This window comes from Homo sapiens, chromosome 15, assembly GCF_000001405.40.
Source record: "Homo sapiens chromosome 15, GRCh38.p14 Primary Assembly".
NCBI lineage: Eukaryota > Metazoa > Chordata > Mammalia > Primates > Hominidae > Homo > Homo sapiens.
In genome coordinates, this window is record NC_000015.10 from 44,180,270 (window position 1) to 44,198,068 (window position 17,799).

The following is a 17,799-nucleotide window of genomic DNA, read 5'->3' on the forward strand; positions in this document are numbered from 1 at the left end:
AGCACAGAGCCTGGAACAAAGAACTCAATAATTTTTTAATCAATTAACATATATTACAAATTAAAGATATGTAATATGGACTTTATAGCAAATAACTCTCTAAGACACAAAAATGGCACCGTGTCATAATATTCATAACTTATCAGTACCTTCATTTTAATTGTAATTATGTCAGAAATATTATTTTTAAAGGAACAAAGAATTACAGAGAAAGGATGTAAAAAAAGAATACTGGCCAGGCGCGGCAGCTCACACCTGTATTCCCAGCACTTTGGGAGGCCAACATGGGCGGATCACTTGAGGTCAGGAGTTCGAGACCAACCTGGCCAACATGGTGAAACCCTGTCTCCACTAAAAATACAAAAATTAGCCAGGCGTGGTGGTGGGCACCTTTAATCCCAGCTACTCAGGAGGCTGAGGCAGGAGAATCGCTTGAACCTGGGAGGCAGAAGTTGCAGTGAGCTGAGATCCTGCTACTGCACTCCAGCCTGGATGACAGAGTGAGACTCCATCTCAAAAAAAGAAAAATACTGCCAAGATACCATTTCTAAATCCTTAACTTTTATCTTTTTATTAGATTATAATTGATAATTATATAGGATTATTTATAAGTAGATAGGTTTTGACATATGATACTTGAGAATAAAATATTGACATAAAATTTTAAAAAGTAACTGGATCTCTAATCAAGTGAGAAAACATTCTATAGCAATTCTAAACCATAAACCCAAACTTAATCATAAACACATTTGGTTAGAAAAACTAATTTAATCACTTTTTTTATTTTTAAGACCAGATCTTGGTCTGTTGCCCAGGCTAGAGTACAGTGGTCTGATGACAACTCACTGCAGCCTCCAACTCTGGGGCTCGAGCAATTATTCCACCTTAGCCTCCCAAGTAGCTGGAACTACAGCAGCATGCCACCACACCTAATTTTTTTTTTTATTATTTTTGGTAGAGACAGCGGTCTCACTATGTTGCCCAGGCTGGTCTCAAACTCCTGGACTCAAGCAATCTTCCCGCCTCAGCCTCCCAAAGTGTTGGAGGCATGAGCTACTGTGCCCATCCTAACCTTTTTACATTTTTTTATTATGCAATAGTTATAGATACACAAAATTGCAAAAAATAGTAAGGAGATGTCCCATGTGCCCTTCACCCACCTTCCCCCAGTGGTAAAATCTTACATAACTATAGTATGTTATCAAAACCAGGAAATTTACATTAGCACTGAAATTTAATTCACATACCATAAAATTCACCATTTTATAGTATACAATTAAATGGTTTTTAGTATGTTCCCAGAGTTGTGCAACCCTCACCACTAACTAACCACCTTTTAAAGTCATCATAAGCTGGGCACGGTGGCTCACACTTATAATCCCAGCACTTTGGGATGTTGACGTGGGAGGATTACTTGAGTCCAGGAGTTTGAAACCAGCCTGGTCAACATAGCAGGACTCTGTCTCTACAAAAGAAAATTTTAAAAATTAGCTGGGCTTGGTGGCATGCACCTGTAGTCCCAGATACTGGGGAGGCTGAGACAGGACTGCTTGAGCCCAGGAGTTCGAGGGTAAAGTGGGCCAAGATCATGCCACTGCACTCCAGCCTCAGCAACAGGGCAAGACCGTGTCTCAAAACAAAACAAAACAAATAATATCACCATATCATAACTCTCAAAAATAGAAAACATGATGGGTTCATTTTTTCACCTATTTTGCTCAAGCTATAGGTAACTTTACATTTGCTTTTTTTTTTTTTTGAAACGGAGTCTCACTCTGTCGCCCAGGCTGAAGTCTAGTGGTGCGATCTCGGCTCACTGCAACCTCCATCTCCCAGGTTCAAGCAATTTTCCTGCCTCAGCCTCCCGAGTAGCTGGGATTACAGGTGTGCGCCACCATGCCTGGCTAAGTTTTATATTTTTAGTAAAGACAGGGTTTCATCTTGTTGGCCAGGCTGGTCTTGAATGCCTGACCTCATGTGATCTGCCCACCTTGGCCTCCCAAAGTCCTGGGATTACAGGCGTGAGCCACCACACCTGGCCCTACATTGCTTTTCTTTTTTTTTTTTTTTTTTTTTCTGAGACGGAGTCTCGCTCTGTCACCCAGGCTGGAGTGCAGTGGTGCGGTCTCGGCTCACTGCAACCCCCACCTCACAGGTTCAAGCAAATCTCCTGCCTCAGCCTCCCAAGTAGGTGGGACTACAGGCACATGCCACCATGCTTGGCTAATTTTTTGTATTTTTAGTAGAGACGAGGTTTCATCATGTTAGCCAGGATGGTCTCGATCTGACCTCGTGATCCACCCACCTTGGCCTCCCAAAGTGCTGGGATTACAGGTGTAAGCCACCGCATCAGGCCCATTTGCATTATTTAATAATCATTTTTTCAGAGCTAATACTTTTATTCATACACATCTACAATCAACATATATTAAGCCCCTTGGTGACACCTTAGTTACTAGCTGTACAAAGATATCTCTGCTCTTCAAACAGTTCACAGTACACTGAGAGACAGACATGTGAGAAAATATTCACATTTCATTTTTTGAGACGGAGTCTCGCTCTGTCGCCCAGGCTAGAGTGCAGTGGCATGATCTCGGCTCACTGCAAGTTCCGCCTCCCGGGTTCACATCATTCTCCTGCCTCAGCTTCCCCAGTAGCTGGGACTACAGGCGCCTGCCACCACGCCAGGCTAAATTTTTTTTTTTTTTTTAGTAGAGACGGGATTTCACCATGTTAGCCAGGATGGTCTCGATCTCCTGACCTCGTGATCCGCCCACCTTGGCCTCCCAAAGTGCTAGGATTACAGGCGTTAGCCACTGTTCTGGCAAAAATACTCACATTTCAATATGGTAAGTGCTATAAGTCCCCCAAGGCACTGCCCAGCAACAATGGGGAGGGAGTCTACCCTGGAACAAGAAGGCTGGTGATCCATGCAGTGAGAAAAGGTGCATACAGAAGATGAGACAAGACAATGCTGGAAAGGGGGGTAGCAGAGAGATTATGGAGGGCCTTCTGTGCCATGCTAAAACGCTCCTGTTATCCTGTAGGCAATGGGAAAACCATGTAGGATTTTTAAAAGATAAAATATTAGAGGTGCACTTGGGAAACATGTGAAAGATGTGAATGGGCCCACCACTCCACAGGAAGGTAAAACCTACACAAGTTGGTCCCCACATCTGGCAAGGGCAAATGGGAAGCCAGAGAATAGAATGTGGTCAGCACTAAATAGTTAGTGGCCCGTCCAGCAGAGGGTTCTATACCCAGCACCAGTGCACTGTGGCAGAGTATTGTGCAGTGAGGTGTTCACTATGACTCATTGATTGTTGAATATTTTAAATGTCACCCCCACATGGAGGCCAGGCCCAGAGGGCTCCTTTAAACCATTAAGCCTCTACCATCACACACAGCTACAACAACAAAAAATAGATCTCAGCCGGCGCGGTGGCTCAGGCCTGTAATCCCAGTACTTTGGGAAGCTGAGGCAGGTGGATCACCTTAGGTCAGGAGTTCGAGATCAGCCTGGTCAACATGGCGAAACCCTGTCTCTATTAAAAATACAGAAATTAGCCAGGTGTGGTGACTTGAGCCTACAGTCCGAGCTACTGGGGAGGCTGAGGCAGGAGAATCACTTGAACCCAGGATGCGGAGGTTGCAGTGAGTCAAGATTGCGCCACTGCAGCCTGGGCGACAGAGCAAGTCTCCGTCTCAAAAAAAAAAAAAAAGATCTCCAATGTTCTTTCATTATCCTCAACCTGCTTCTCCAGATTCTCCCTCCAGATTCGTCCAGGTATTTCTGCTTAAGGCTCTCACTCCAACCCCTCTGTTTCTCTGTTTTGATCTTTTGTTTCTCCATTTAGTCAATCATTTTAATTCTCCCTCCACTCTAACTTCGGCTGTCTAAAGTAAGGCTTTACTGGCCATGGAAAGTCCACCTCCTGCCATCATGTCTACCCATTCCTGAAGCACCAGACCTGAAGACATAGTAGACACAGAGTCACATTGGGTCTATTAATCCATTAAGAAATTATTACCAAAAAAAGTTAATAGAAAACTCTTAACATATAATACCAATCCAGCTAAAGCCCAAGGTTTTCAGGAATCTTTAGGTTGGAGTTTCAAGATGTCATTTTATACAATACAGATTTCCATTTGTTTGTACTGCCTCAATTAACTAAATATACAACACTCTTAAGTTTAAAAATGAACTTAAAGTACACATATCACATTATGCCTTAGTGTACATTTACATACACTATGAATGCACCTATTTAATACCTCTCACTACCAAGAGAAGGTGTGACCATCACACAAAGAATCTTACCAGCAAAGGTATAACTAAGCAGTGATGGCAATTAGAAATGGTGATAAAAGACTCTATTAAATGAGAGGCTAATAGTATAAATTAGCATAAAGCAAAGGAGATAATAAGAGATGAACAGAAGGGCTATCTTGTTCAGGAAAGATGGCAAGAAATAAAATTGTGGAATTCAGAAAGTGAAAAAAAAGTAAAATTCTTCCACTTCTTTTGTCATTGTCTTTCAGCCAGAAAGTAGCTTATGTGAGATAAATCATTAGTAAAAATAGTCCATAATATTTTATAATGACACACTGAAAGATCTCATTTGCAGCAAGATAGTATATCATTATATCTGTCTCTTTAAAAATAATCAGACTGACCAGTATACCCAATATTACAAATTAGAATATGGGTAATATCTCCTTACCATAAAATTAGAAAACAGTTTATAGATGTACAGTCTGTAATGTGGCTATTCATTTAAACAAACTTTTTAAAATTATTTAAGATAAATTTAAAAGTAAGCAAAGAAAGTATTAAGTTTTCAGATTAGCTGTGCTGCTTAGTTGGTTCAGTGTTTTATGTTCTGTAGCTACACCAAGCAAACTCCTCTCCTGGTTTTTTTAAAACCTATTTCACATGTACTAGAATCTGAAGCTGGGCATAGTTTGAAGAAGTTGCATTCCAGTACTGGGACTTCCTTATGTTTTTATCAGAGTTTCACTGCTCAACAGCCAAATTTCTTTTGATAGTATAACTTCCAAATGGCCTCCCGAAGAGCTGAGGGGCTATTCTGTTAGACAGATAAGTGTATACTGAGAAATTGCAGGCTTAATATGCCTTATAACATTCCAGGCATCATTGCCAATCCATGGAGTCCTTCTGACCTACAAACCTCCAATTCCATAATAACTTTGGGGCCTTTAGAGTCTTCTAGAGGCAAGGCCAGGCATGGTGGCTCACACTTGTAATCCTAGCACTTTGGGAGGCTGAGGCGGGTGGATTGCTTAAGGTCAGGAGTTTAGAAACCAGCCTAGCCAACATGGTGAAACCCCTTCTGTACTAAAAATACAAAAATTAGCTGAGCGTGGTGGTGCATGCCTGTAATCCCAGCTACTCAGGAGGCTGAGACGCAAGAATTGCTTGAACCCAGGAGGCAGAGGTTGCAATGAGCCGACATCATACCACTGAACTCCAGCTTGGGCGACAGAGTGAGACTCTTATCTTAAAAAAAAAAAAATGCTCTAGAGGCAAAAAATCTAAAAGAGGGCAGGCTAGATGCTTTCTCCATCTTAAATTACCTCTGGAAGTACATGAGATCCTTATGTGAATTCACTAATTCTGCTTTCTTGTGTTTTTTGTCTGTTTGTTTGTTTTGAGACAGAGTTTCTCTCTTGTTGCCCAGGCTGGAGTGCAATGGCGTGATTTCGGCTCACCCACAACCTTCGCCTCCCCAGTTCAAACGATTCTCCTGCCTCAGCCTCCAGAGTAGCTGGGATTACAGGCATGCGTCACCACACCCAGCTAATTTTTTATTTTTAGTAGAGACAGGGTTTCTCCACGTTGGTCAGGCTGGTCTCAAACTCCAGACCTCAGGGGATCCACCCACCTCGGCCTCCCAAAGTGCTGGGATTACAGGCGTGAGCCACCGCACCCGGCCTTTCTTGTGTTATGATCAATGTTCTTACCTGCTTGGTTCAAGTCTAACAAAACAAGAATCTTAGTGGCACCTCCTGCCTAGAGTATTTGGAATCCTTTGGAAATCCTGAAGCCAACTTTTCCACTCAGTATCCTCAAAATTAGACTGAGGCCCAGACTACAGGCCCTTGGGTTAAGTCAGGGTGTAGAGAAAAAAGGCTCTGCACCTGTCTGGAGGTGAAGGATAATTTGCCTGACTAAGGAGTGCCTGGATGGAGTACCAGACTATGAGGGTTCCTAATGATTTGGCTTTTTCCTGCTACAAGTTCACTGAAAGTGGCCAGACATTTGAGTGTGCCCTAGGGCATGCGGGTTTGATGTACCACTATTTATTTCAGGTCTTGGGCCTGTGGGCCTTTGCTAATTTTTCTGGCTCCCACAATACCACTTCACAGCAAGCCCCCTTAATCTCTCCAATAAAGTGGAGTGTCCGTATTGTCAGTCATCCCCTATTCATCAGTCTTTAGACTATCCCTTCTTTTTCTCCTTTTCCAGAGCAAAATAACCTATTAGCATTGGCATTCTGCCGAACACTGATTGCCCAAATGCCGAACAGTGCTTTCTTGGAGGTTCCCATCCCCAAAGCTCTAGCCTGGCATTGTGTTGAGTGCTAAAAGTACACCCTGTATAAGGCTGGGAACTTCGAAGCTGTCAGGGGTTCACTGGGGAATTCAGAGACGCAATCCTCGGTCCTCAAGAGAAGCTATTTTTGGTGGCCACTTAGGTTTGGGAACAGAGATGCTGAAATGTGCCTTTTAGGACTCCATGGGTCACATTTCTTAACTGTTAATGCACAATTGGGGCTGCACTGTATTCATCAAAGGATTTTCAAACATCGGCTAAATGTTACAATTTGATACCCTCTTTTTTGTCAGATGATTAAACTGATCCTGAAGAGAAGAGTCCTCTTGGAAATAAAATTCATATGTAGTTACTGCAGCCACAGAATGAAGATTGAAATCTGAATCCACCTTTTCTTGACATAATGCCATTGCTTTGTGAAGAATCTTAATTTGTGTTATACAATTTTAGAATTAGATTTAATTCAACACTAGCTTTATGCATTATTAGTTTAGATTGATTCCTCTCTGCATGTCAAGTATGATTGAAATTTACTGACAGGAATTTTCCCCAAGCAGATTTCTGTTGTTTGACTCAACTATACCAGAGTAAGTCAGATAAACATACTAAAGAAAAAAACTAAAGACTTTACATTTTTAACTTTTCCACTTAGAAGTAGTCTGCTGTTAACTCAGCCTCTAATGCTCTTTACGCATCCCCATGCCATTTTTGCTTTTGGCAATTTTTTTTTTTTTTTTAGGAGACAGCGTTTCCATCTGTAGCCCAGGCTGGAGTACAATGGCACAATCATAGCTCATTGTAACCTCAAACTCCTGGGCTTACAAAATCCTCCCACCTCAGCCCCCTCATGTAGCTAGGACTACAGGTATACACCAACATGCCAGCCTAAATTTTAAATTTTTTGTAGAGACAAGGTCTTGCTATGTTGCCCAGGATAGACTCAAACTCCTGGCCTCGAGGGATCCTCCTGCCTTGGTCCCCCAAAGCACTGAGATTATAGGCATAAACCACAGTGCCTGGCCCTGCTTTTGGCAATTTTTCATAACCTGGTTCAAATTTCATCTCCTTTGAAAAACAATTATTAATTTTGGAATCCCTCCCCATTTCCCAAACTCCAACCCAAATCTGCATTGCCACAACATATCCCCTTGTCTTAGCTCCAAATTCCATGATGCTTTATAGTTTGTTATTTACGTGTTTGCAATCCCTAAGTTGTAAGCCCTTCGACAACAGGGGCCTTGACTTTTCCTTTCCCCTAGTGCGTCAAGTTGTGAACAAAATTTATTTTTAAAAAATATACAAATATACAATAATCTACTGTTTTTAGGTCAGGAGAGACAAAAAATACTAACCAATAAATACAACAGCATCAAACTGGTATAATGACGCACTGCAGAATCTTTAGACTCCTACCCACTTGAAAATAGGTATGCATATCTGTAGACAACCTAGCATTTACCTTGCAAGGGAAGAGAATCTATTAAGACAATTCAGGAATAAATCAAAAGTTAGAAATGTGAGATTCCTTCTTCACCTCTCCCTCTCCCTCACATTTTACATCCAGTCAATCAACACTTGTCCATTTTACCTACTAAATATCTCTGTAACCCAGTAGTAGTGATTCTCAAACCTCAGCAAGCCTAAGAATCACCTGGAAGACTTGTTAAACAGACTGCTGAACTCCATCCCCGGAGTTTTTGATTCACTAGGTCTGGGATGGGGTCAAGAATTTGCATTTCTAACAAGTACCCAGGTGATATGGATAATGCCTATCTAGGGGCCATACTTTGAGAACCACTGCTTTATCCAATCCCTTATTTCATTTTCCATGCTTTGAGAGGCCTCACAATTTCTACTGAAGGAAAAGGGCCCCTGAATTGTGACATAGTAAAATGACTCAAATGAGGCATAAGAATAGCTAGATTTGGTCCTGATTTTGAATGGTTTTTCTTGGTGGGCAGTGGTTGTCTGAGGCTTTGAACTGATCTTTAACACACAGGAATGAGTTCTAGGCACTTCTGGAGTGGTCCAGAGCACCTCTAAATACGAAGCAGCAGATGAGGTCATGGTAATTCGGGGAGTCAGAAGTGGAAGGGTGGGGGGTTGAAAGCTATAATCACTGTCAAAGGGGTGTTTTCTGTAGACAAGTGAATGGAGCTATTGTACACAAACTCAGTGGTTGCCAAGCATGTGGCCCAATTATTTTGCCTTCATGAGCATGGCACGGAAGGATCTCTTTAGAGAACTTGATTCACACAAGTTTGTGTTTAGTCTAACGGTAGCAGGCAAAAGCCTGGGGAATTTGAACCTAAGAGTCTTTACAAGTTCCTGCCTCCCAAATCTAGGATATGATACTAGAAAGTTGGTAAGACCACAAAAGTAAAACACAATCTTTAGAAATAATACAACAATTACAACTGTTGAAAGACCAATATAGGGGCCTATCTTGGTCAAAATGTTGACAACAATAATGAAGATCACATGTTGACCTTGGGAGGCAAAAGGTCCATAATTTAAATTTCTCTGAGACAGTTTTAGCCTGATGGAGAAACTGGAGGTTGGGAGTATGTGAACTTAGACCCTCTGTTCCCCCTGGTTTATCTTTGGCTCTACCTGTATTTACAGTGCTTGTAAAAGTCAAGACTTTTTTTTTTTTTTTTGGGACAGAGTCTTGCTCTGCCACCCAGGCTGGAGTGCAATGGTGCTATCTCGGCTCACTGCAAGCTCCACCTCCCGGGTTCAAGCAATTCTCCTGCCTCAGCCTCCCGAGCAGCTGGGATTACAGGCATGTAACAGCACACACCTGGCTAATTTTTGTATTTTTAGTAGAGACGGGGGTTTTACCATGTTGACCAGGCTGGTCTCAAACTCCTGATCTCAAGTGATCCTCCCACCTCAGCCTACCAAATTGCCAGGATTACAGGCATGAGCCACCATGTCTAGCCAAAAGTCCAAAGAGTTTTATTGGTCACCAGGGTCTAGGGTCTTAAAAAGGAATGGAAGACCTGCTTCATTTGCTAGGATAGACATATGAATTGGCGATTTGCTGTCTTAGGGGAAACACCATTCTCCCTGCAACATGGGAATGGAGATGCTTTAGTACCCTTCAAATTTCCCAGCTGCATAAGAAAACCACTGAGGTGGTTGGCCTAAGCCCCAAAAAGTCAAGACCAGAAAACAGGGGCAACAACCATCACCTGGCCTCCAGGAAAGCAGCACTGTCCTTCCTGGGCACTACAGAAGTGAGAAACAGAAGCTATAAGGTTGCTGCCAATCCTCCATGATATTCACTTCTTTAGTACAAGCCTTAACTAGACACATTTGAGAGACGAGCAACTCGCAGAGTCAGACAGGATGTTATAGATGAGGCTATCAAAGGTGAATTCAACTTAAAATAGATATAACTAGAAACAGGATGGGAAGCATGGTCCACTTCCTCTTGGAGCAAGAGGTGAGAAAATGAGGCTGTGAGGAGGTCTGTCTCCTCTTTTATGGGGTACTAAGGGGAAAAGTGTGAAGGAAACTTCTGTAGCTATGGTGATCCCTACATCCAAAATCCTAATTCTGGCAGAACTCTAACACTCCATGAAGTACTGCATCACACAGTATTCATTTGATCTAAGCCCTCTAAACTTGCAGAGATGGAGGCAGGGGGACCTGAAAGTTTTGAAATCCTAAGAGACAAACCAAAAAGTCATAGGAGCTATACCAACTGGCACTCCACTAATTCAACAAAGGATAATTGCAGAAATTGACTTCATAAATACCTCAAAGACCTCATAAATACCACACTAACATACTGTACTTCTCACCCGGGAGAGGGGTCACACAGCAAAACGGTTTGTAATGGAATGGATTAAAACTATAAAGAGTTATACAGGTGTTAGAACTGTTTATTGTTTTCAGGAATAAGAAAATTTGAAGTGAAGTTAACATAGCAATCATGTAGCACAAACAAATTAGAACAAATATTTATTGAATTAAAACTATGTAAGGCATCGAACTAGATGTGATAATTCTTAGGGTTTATGATTTATAGCTTTCTCTTAATCTATTATAAACTCTAGAGTGCCTGGCAAGCACAGGGCTCAATACATTTGTTCTCTCCCTCCCTCTCTCACCCTAGCTACCACAGCTACTAAGTGGTTGAGCCACAATCAAATCCAAATATTGGTTATACTATGGAAATGCCCCTGCACACACATTCTATTTATGGTAGTATCTTATTTAACTGCACAATTTAACCTGGCTGCTTAATCCATTATTTTAATATGTCTCTCAGTAAAATCAAATTCATTTCTAGAGTAGCTCACCTTTCAGTAATCACAAAAAACTGATTAACATTTCTGACTTGAAAATAGGTATTTTTTCAACACATATTTCTATTAGAAATGTTGCAATATATATTCTCATAATTTATAAACTATTATAAGCTGAAAGATAGTTCAAAATCTATTCCTGGCCGGGTGCAGTGGCTCATGCCTGTAATCCCAGCACTTTGGGAGGCGAGGCGGGTGGATCACGAGGTCAAGAGATAGAGACCATCCTGGCCAACATGGTGAAACCTCGTCTCTACTAAAAATACAAAAATTGGCCAGGCATGGTGGTGGGTGCCTGTAATACCAGCTACTCGGGAGGTTGAGGCAGGAGAATCGCTTGAACCCAGGAGGCAGAGGTTGCAGTGAGCTTAGATTGCGCCATTGCACTTCAGCCTGGGCAACAGAGCGAGACTCCACCTCAAAAATAATAATAATAATAATAAAATAATCTATTCCTTATAAGCAGGGCATGGTGGTGCACTTCTGTAGTCCCAACTACTTGGGAGGCTGAGGCGAGAGAATCACTTCAGCCCAGGAATTCAAGTCCAGCCTAGGCAACATAGCAAGATCCCGTTTCTTAAAAACATAAAAATTCCTTAGGATATTACATGCCTAAGCACGTAAATGACTCCTTCAGTATACTGAGTTCAAAGATATTAGTTATCTTTTCATTTTTTAATTTTCCCTATTTTCTCCAAATAACAAAGTAAGCTGATAAATGTGGTAAATATATATATATATATATATATATATATATTATATATATATATATATATGTATCTCCATAAATGAAACAGATGAATGAAAAACAGATGAGTAGACCAGATCTGCATTTACGAGGAAATGACCTTCAAAACTGGCAGGGAGCTGTTAACAATGTTCTTCACAGGGGAGCAATTATACTACAACCCTCCTATGTATACTTTCATTTCTCATGGTCTACAAATACATTTGCATATCAGAAAGAGTGAAAGAATAGTCTGGTAACTGTGGCAACCTTCATTGAAAAGATATAAGGCATTTTCATTACCTTAATAATTACATCCTAAATGCCAGATCGGAATAAATGCTGCATTATGAAAGGATAGACAAATACTTTGACAGAATTTCTTATAACTGAAATTTACCAAATGGAACTATCATGACTCCAACCCAGTGATACATTTCTGATTCTGTAATATCCTAAGTAGTCTCTGATTATGCTAAGGCAGTAAAATCATTCTAAAATAGATACTTTATTTAAACAAAAATATGGCATACAACACTTTAAGGAAAATGAGTTCAAATTATCACCATAAAATATACAGTGCTACAATGCCTAAAATGTTGGGAATATTGCTTAACCTAATAAGAAGTTCACAGATCCTTTCCATACTGATTTAAAAGATCCTATGCCCAGTATTTAACAAATAAGCACATGCACATATACACACACACTCACTACAGAAATGCATGAAGGGAAAAGCTGATAAGAAAAGCTCAATTTCTAAATGTTCAAAAAAGCTACATGCAGAAAATGTTAATTTCATATAAGATACTGTCTTTTTGCTACATTTCCTCACATGGGTAAAAACAAAAGCAATTCGCCAAAGTGATGCCAAAGAATGACAACATTACATATACTTAACAATCCCTGTGTTCTTTAGATTCCATGCAAAAATCACAATGCACAATCATTAACATGTCTAGACAGTGGACACTTACTACAGTGTGGCCATATTACACCAAGCTTAATTTTTTAGGTGGCCTAGATATTTTATAAAATTAAATTGTAATAATGTAAAATGAGAGCAGTAGGAAAATAAGTACAGCTATAGTGGGATATAGCAAGCACAAATCCAATAAGTCCTATTTAACTCAAAAATATTTTTTTTCTAAATGGTAATAAAAACTACCCACAATTATAATACCAATCAAGCAACCTCAAAGGTTCCACTAACTGGGAAAAAAATAACTATTTGCCTCACTGCAATACTTTAAAACCACAAGGTTAACAATCATTTCTAGCGAAATGGTGATGTGAATTGTGTTTTATTTGTATTCTACACCTTGGCAAAAGTTAATGACCTGCCTCGGAAATTATTTCACATACCCCAAAAGTATTCTTAGGACTTATAAAGTCTAAATCTCACACTCCCCTTGATATGCTATTGGATAAATGCTTTAAATTTTAAAACAAAAGGATAAAGACTTTTAAAAAGCTCTAGACAATATACTCAAATGGTGAAGATATCAACTCAATGTATTCTCATACCCCAGCAAAACAAAAAAAGCAAAAAAAAACTGGACATGGCACAATGATACAATAGGAACAAAAAGTAGTATTCCACTCATTCAGCAAGGAAATAATACAGAGCATCTCTCTATCATATTCAACTACAAAAATCCTTTCACTTGATGGCTAGCATCTTTATGACTGCTTAGTCTGTATTTAAGTAGCCTTAAAAAGAGATTTTGTGCTCTTTCTCTACCCTCATGGATCTTTGGCAGCAGTCAGCACTTATGCCCAGAGCTGGTTTCGAGGGGAGGGAGAAAAGGGAAAGTGAGGAGAAGGCTGAACTGAGCACGGAGTCAGCAGAGACCAGCTGCTCTCATACACTACCCAGTGTCTTTCTCACACACCGCTATTTTCCGCGATTGAGCACTGTCAGCAAAAATAAATAAATAAGGAGGCGGGGGGCAAGAAGACACTGAGGGTAGGACCCAGGCCGACAGTTTTTGTCTGTCACATCTGAGCCAGAAGCCTCCTCCTGTTTTCCTGCTGCAAAGGCAAAGGATCAGGTGAGACCCCTCTGGGTCCAGCTCAATTAGCTTCTCCACAAAGAGCAGCTTCCGGCGATGAGCGCAGGATCCTCCTGGCTGATGAACTAAACACGGGAGCATTGTCAATGTTTTCAATCTCTGACTTTTTCATAAGGGAGGAGAGAGGGCTGTGACTGCATTCCCGGGAAAGACTACTACTCCTGACGTGCACACAGCAGTAGCGAAGGAACATGAGCAAGAGGTTGTAAAAATCCCTTCAAAAATACCAGGTTCTGAAAGAAATGCTGTTGAGCATTACCGTATTGTTGGCGTTTTTCCTAAGTCGCCGATTCTTCCTGGCCACTTCCAAGCCCCAAATCGCTGGGACTTGTTGCTAAATCTTTACCTCACGTCCCCTAGAACCGCCCAACACAATAAAATTTGGGGATCAAAAGGCGGGAGGGGGCCTAAATCTCTAAAACCCAGAGGACTGGGCTTCCTTCAATAGGCCACTCCGCATGGGCTGCGCGTTCAGTTCTACCTTCTGAAAGCTCTGACTCACAAATGGTGGGGGGAGGAATTATGACATAAACCATTATCCTTCCAACCCAAGAAAGATAAGAAAAGCCAGCCATACGTCCTTGCCCGGGCAGAGAGCCAAAGCCTGCGCCCCCGACGGGGCGGCCGGGCTAGGAGCCTACCGCCCTACCCGCCTCCCTCCGGGCGCCCCGGAAAGGTGCACCTTACTCGGGCGGGCTCGAGGAACCAGGACGGGGCGCCCTCACCCAGGGAGAGCAGGGTAGGACTTAGGGGTGTGGGACGCGGAGACTCGCCCCGCGGCGGCGGTGACACACCGGGTGCCAGGGCTCCGGCAGGGGCTCCGGTGAAGACGCCCTGCACTAGGGCGGTCCGCCGCAACCAGGAACGGACAAAGCACGGCGCTGGGGCTGGGGCGACCCCTGGGCGGCGGCCGCCGCCGGCCAAGTTGACCAGACTTGGGGGACAAGGGGGTCCCGCGGGCGGGGCGGGGCGGCGCGGCGCTGACCTGGATGGTGCAGGTGTACTCGCTGTCGTCCAGCAGCCGCACGGTGCAGCTGTACTCGCGCTCCAGGCTCCTGCTGCTGCCGCTCATCAACCTGCTCAGCATCTTCCCGCCCGCCCGCCCGGGAGCGACGCGGCGGCGCTGCGGACCCTGGACCAGGCGTCCCTCAGCCCGGCAGCTCCGCACCGACCCCAGGCACCTGCACCATCACCCCGGCCCCGTCGCTGCCGTTGCCTCCTGCTGGCCTCGTTCCTCCTCCTTATCCTCCTCCTTCCCTCAGCCGCCACCGCCTCCCCCCAGCCCAGATCAAGCGCCGGGCTCTGTCTCCTCGGCGCCCCAGTGCCCGTGCCCAGCTCGCGGGGCGGGGCCTCAACTGGAGGGGGCCAATGGGGGTCAGCGCGGCGGAACCGAGTGGCAGACCGAAAAGCCAATCGAGATAGAGTACTGGGATGATGGGCGGGATAAAGAAGCAATCACAGAAAAGCAGTCGGACCTAGTCAAGCCGGAGCAGCCCTCTAGCGTCCCAAACGAGGGGTTCCTCTCCGCCCCGTGGTTCCTATGGATGCTGTTTCCCCTCCCCCGGGCCAGGTGTGAGCACCCAACTGGATTGATGTCTGCCGCCTGAAATACACTTGATCTGCGTTTCCGAAGCCAAGCCTCGCACCCTGCAACACCGCGGTTCCCGCCCTCTTGGGAGCCGGAGCGAGGAGGCGGCAGGGTGCTGGATCACAGTCCCTGCACCTGCAGAATGCGGATACCTCTCGCTCCAGATAGGGCGACTGCCCCCGACCTGTGCTGTACCCTAAGTTGGCCCGTCTGGCCTCTGTGCTCCAGCCCTCTTATTTTGGGAAACAGGAGCTACTTAAATAAAAGCTAAAGGGACCTCAGAGGTTCTGAAGTACCCAGGTTTAATCCCCTAAAAAACCCTCCACTCTAACACCCTTTGCCTCCTTTTTATTTCAGAAGACAAAAGGAGACTGCTCCTTCAGCTGGTAGGGAGCAGAGGAAGCAATGAATCTTCTCCTTGCACTTTTAGAACTGGAAATTATGTCTTCAGACTTTCTCAATAGAACAACATAGTATGTCAGGAGGTATACATCACAAAGAATTGTCTCCTTCTCTTTGTCACCCCAAATTTACAGACTTCAAGGTTTTTTACCAGAACTTCAATAAGAGATATTCTCCCTCAAAGATTTTTGATGTGAGGAAATGTTATAAAATAATTATGTCGGCCGGGCGCAGTGGCTCAAGCCTGTAATCCCAGCACTTTGGGAGGCCGAGGCGGGCGGATCACCTGATGTCAGGAGTTCGAAACCAGCCTGACCAACATGGTGAATCCCCGTCTCTACTAAAAATACAAAAAAATTAGCCGTGCATGGTAGCACGCACCTGTAATCCCAGCTACTCGGGAGGCTGAGGCAGGAGAATCGCTTGAACCCAGGAGGCAGAGGTTGCAGTGAACCAAGATCACGGCCATTGCACTCCAGCCTGGGGGACAAGAGCAAGCCACCGTCTCAAAAAAAAAAAATAATCGTGTCAACATAGAACATTAATGCTGTAATAAATATATTAATTTAAAATAATGAAATAGGCATAATTTCCTATTACTTTCATTTGCACTGTTCTTGTTTATAGGTATAATGTGTAACAAAAATGAAACTCTACATTAGCCTAGAAAACTATCCCGCCTTTAAAGTATGCTTCTTCCCTAGTGTCTTTGGATTCCAATATTTTCCCCAATTTTTTTTTTTTTTTTTGCATGGGGAGATTCATTCTCTTTCATTCTCTCTCTCTCTCTCTCTTTCTCTCTCTCTCTCTCTCTCTCTTCCTCCCCCTCTCCCTCCCCCTTTTTCTTTCTATCACCTTAGTAACCTGGACTGCTCTTAATTGGTTGCATTCTCCTTTGTGGCATTTAATAGCCATAGGAGCAGGATTCTCTTTTCAATGCAATTTGGATGGAGTTAGTTATGAGTCTAGAACTAGTAAGTCAAGTGTTCCAGGCATAAAACCAGGCATGCGCTCCACTACTTTGTAGCTTCAGCAGGTAGTCTGATGCCTGAAACATAATAGGTATTCAATAAGTGTTGAACTGAATACAAAAATTAGCCGGGTGTGGTGGCATGCGCCCGTGGTCCCAGCTACTGGGGAGGCTGAGGCAGGAGAATCGCTGGAACCCGGGAGGTAGAGATTGCAGTGAGCTGAGATTGTGCCACTGCACTCCAGCCTGGGCAACAGAGCAAGACTCGGTCTAAAAAAAAAAAAATTGATGAACTGAAGTAAATGGAATTGACAGGTGTTCTACAGCACTTAAATCCCAGAGGAAGAAGACCTGTGAAGAAACTCAAAATTTCAGGAAGATCTTGGAGACAAGTAAAATTATTAATATGCCAAAGTGATATTCTACAAAGCTCAGCTTTGTTATGTAGCTGTAAGAAGATAATGAAATATTTCAGGCTGGGCGCAGTGGCTCACACCTGTAATCCCAGTACTTTAGGAGGCCGAGGTGGGTGGATCACGAGGTCAGGAGTTCAAGACCAGCCTGGCCATCATGGTGAAACCCTGTCTCTACTGAAAATACAAAAATGAGCCGGGCATGGTGGCATGTGTCTGTAGTCTCAGCTACTCAGGAGGCTGAGGCAGGAGATTTGCTTGAACCTGGGAGGCGAAGGTTGCAGTGAGCTGAGATTGGCCACTGCACTCCAGCCTGGGAGACAGCGAGACTCCATCTCAAAAAAAAAAAAAAAAAAAAGAAAGAAAGGAAAAAAAATTCAAACTGAAAGAGCTTTTGTTGAAGGCAAAAGTTACTGTTTGTTATAGAATCAACAAGAGCAAGAAAAAATGTCCAAGCTAGAGGAAGTCCATAAGTGTGATGGTAGGAAAGTGTTTTTAACAGGTTATCCAAATAAGCAGCTGTTAGAATGAAAAGGCAAAGCACTATGAATCCAGAAAAGCTCTAAGGAACTGAATGCAGTCTTTTTTCGAAGTATGGCCATAGTTGCAATCAACAGAGGTGAGACTGTATTTCCTATGTCAATGTGTTAAGTAGAATCCTTGCTCAGTCTGAGAAAATCATGTCTGAGGCTGGGTGCAGTGGCTCATGCCTATAATCCCAACATTTG

General features: G+C 43.2%; 1 protein-coding gene across 11 annotated transcripts in view, besides 6 other annotated features; it reads right to left on the minus strand.

Annotated features, from left to right (window-relative positions):
* The window catches only part of FRMD5 (FERM domain containing 5), a 328,710-nt gene that overhangs the window by 309,506 nt on the left and 1,405 nt on the right, over positions 1 to 17,799 (minus strand). For 8 of the 11 annotated variants that reach the window (XR_931927.4, NR_104455.2, NM_001322951.2 and 5 more), the window contains exon 1: positions 14,684 to 15,002. The exons of 1 other annotated variant lie outside the window; for it this stretch is intronic. Coding sequence is in view for 5 of the 10 variants with exons in the window: in NM_001322951.2 (NP_001309880.1) it covers positions 14,684 to 14,785 (102 nt within the window). In the remaining 5 variants the exon portion in view is untranslated. Of the gene's footprint in view, positions 1 to 13,957; positions 14,178 to 14,683; positions 15,003 to 17,799 lie in introns of those variants that run through there. 2 more of the 11 variants (XM_047433193.1, NM_001286490.2) reach the window with 1 other exon arrangement.
* Positions 14,333 to 14,392: a silencer, noted in NCBI's record as "silent region_6392". NCBI's record gives its function as "represses an Ori minimal core promoter by ATAC-STARR-seq in GM12878 lymphoblastoid cells {active_cell/tissue: GM12878}" and the evidence as "EXISTENCE:reporter gene assay evidence [ECO:0000049][PMID:35858748]".
* Positions 14,503 to 14,552: a silencer, noted in NCBI's record as "silent region_6393". NCBI's record gives its function as "represses an Ori minimal core promoter by ATAC-STARR-seq in GM12878 lymphoblastoid cells {active_cell/tissue: GM12878}" and the evidence as "EXISTENCE:reporter gene assay evidence [ECO:0000049][PMID:35858748]".
* Positions 14,886 to 15,387: an enhancer, noted in NCBI's record as "H3K4me1 hESC enhancer chr15:44487353-44487854 (GRCh37/hg19 assembly coordinates)". NCBI's record gives its function as "activates a minimal SCP1, AML or CMV promoter by ChIP-STARR-seq in naive and primed H9 embryonic stem cells {active_cell/tissue: H9 hESC(naive and primed)}" and the evidence as "EXISTENCE:reporter gene assay evidence [ECO:0000049][PMID:30033119]".
* Positions 15,388 to 15,887: an enhancer, noted in NCBI's record as "H3K4me1 hESC enhancer chr15:44487855-44488354 (GRCh37/hg19 assembly coordinates)". NCBI's record gives its function as "activates a minimal SCP1, AML or CMV promoter by ChIP-STARR-seq in naive and primed H9 embryonic stem cells {active_cell/tissue: H9 hESC(naive and primed)}" and the evidence as "EXISTENCE:reporter gene assay evidence [ECO:0000049][PMID:30033119]".
* Positions 15,403 to 15,502: an enhancer, noted in NCBI's record as "active region_9334". NCBI's record gives its function as "activates an Ori minimal core promoter by ATAC-STARR-seq in GM12878 lymphoblastoid cells {active_cell/tissue: GM12878}" and the evidence as "EXISTENCE:reporter gene assay evidence [ECO:0000049][PMID:35858748]".
* Positions 16,787 to 17,022: a silencer, noted in NCBI's record as "fragment chr15:44489254-44489489 (GRCh37/hg19 assembly coordinates)". NCBI's record gives its function as "represses an EF-1alpha promoter that drives an FKBP-Casp9 reporter gene in an ReSE screen in HepG2 liver carcinoma cells {active_cell/tissue: HepG2}" and the evidence as "EXISTENCE:reporter gene assay evidence [ECO:0000049][PMID:32094911]".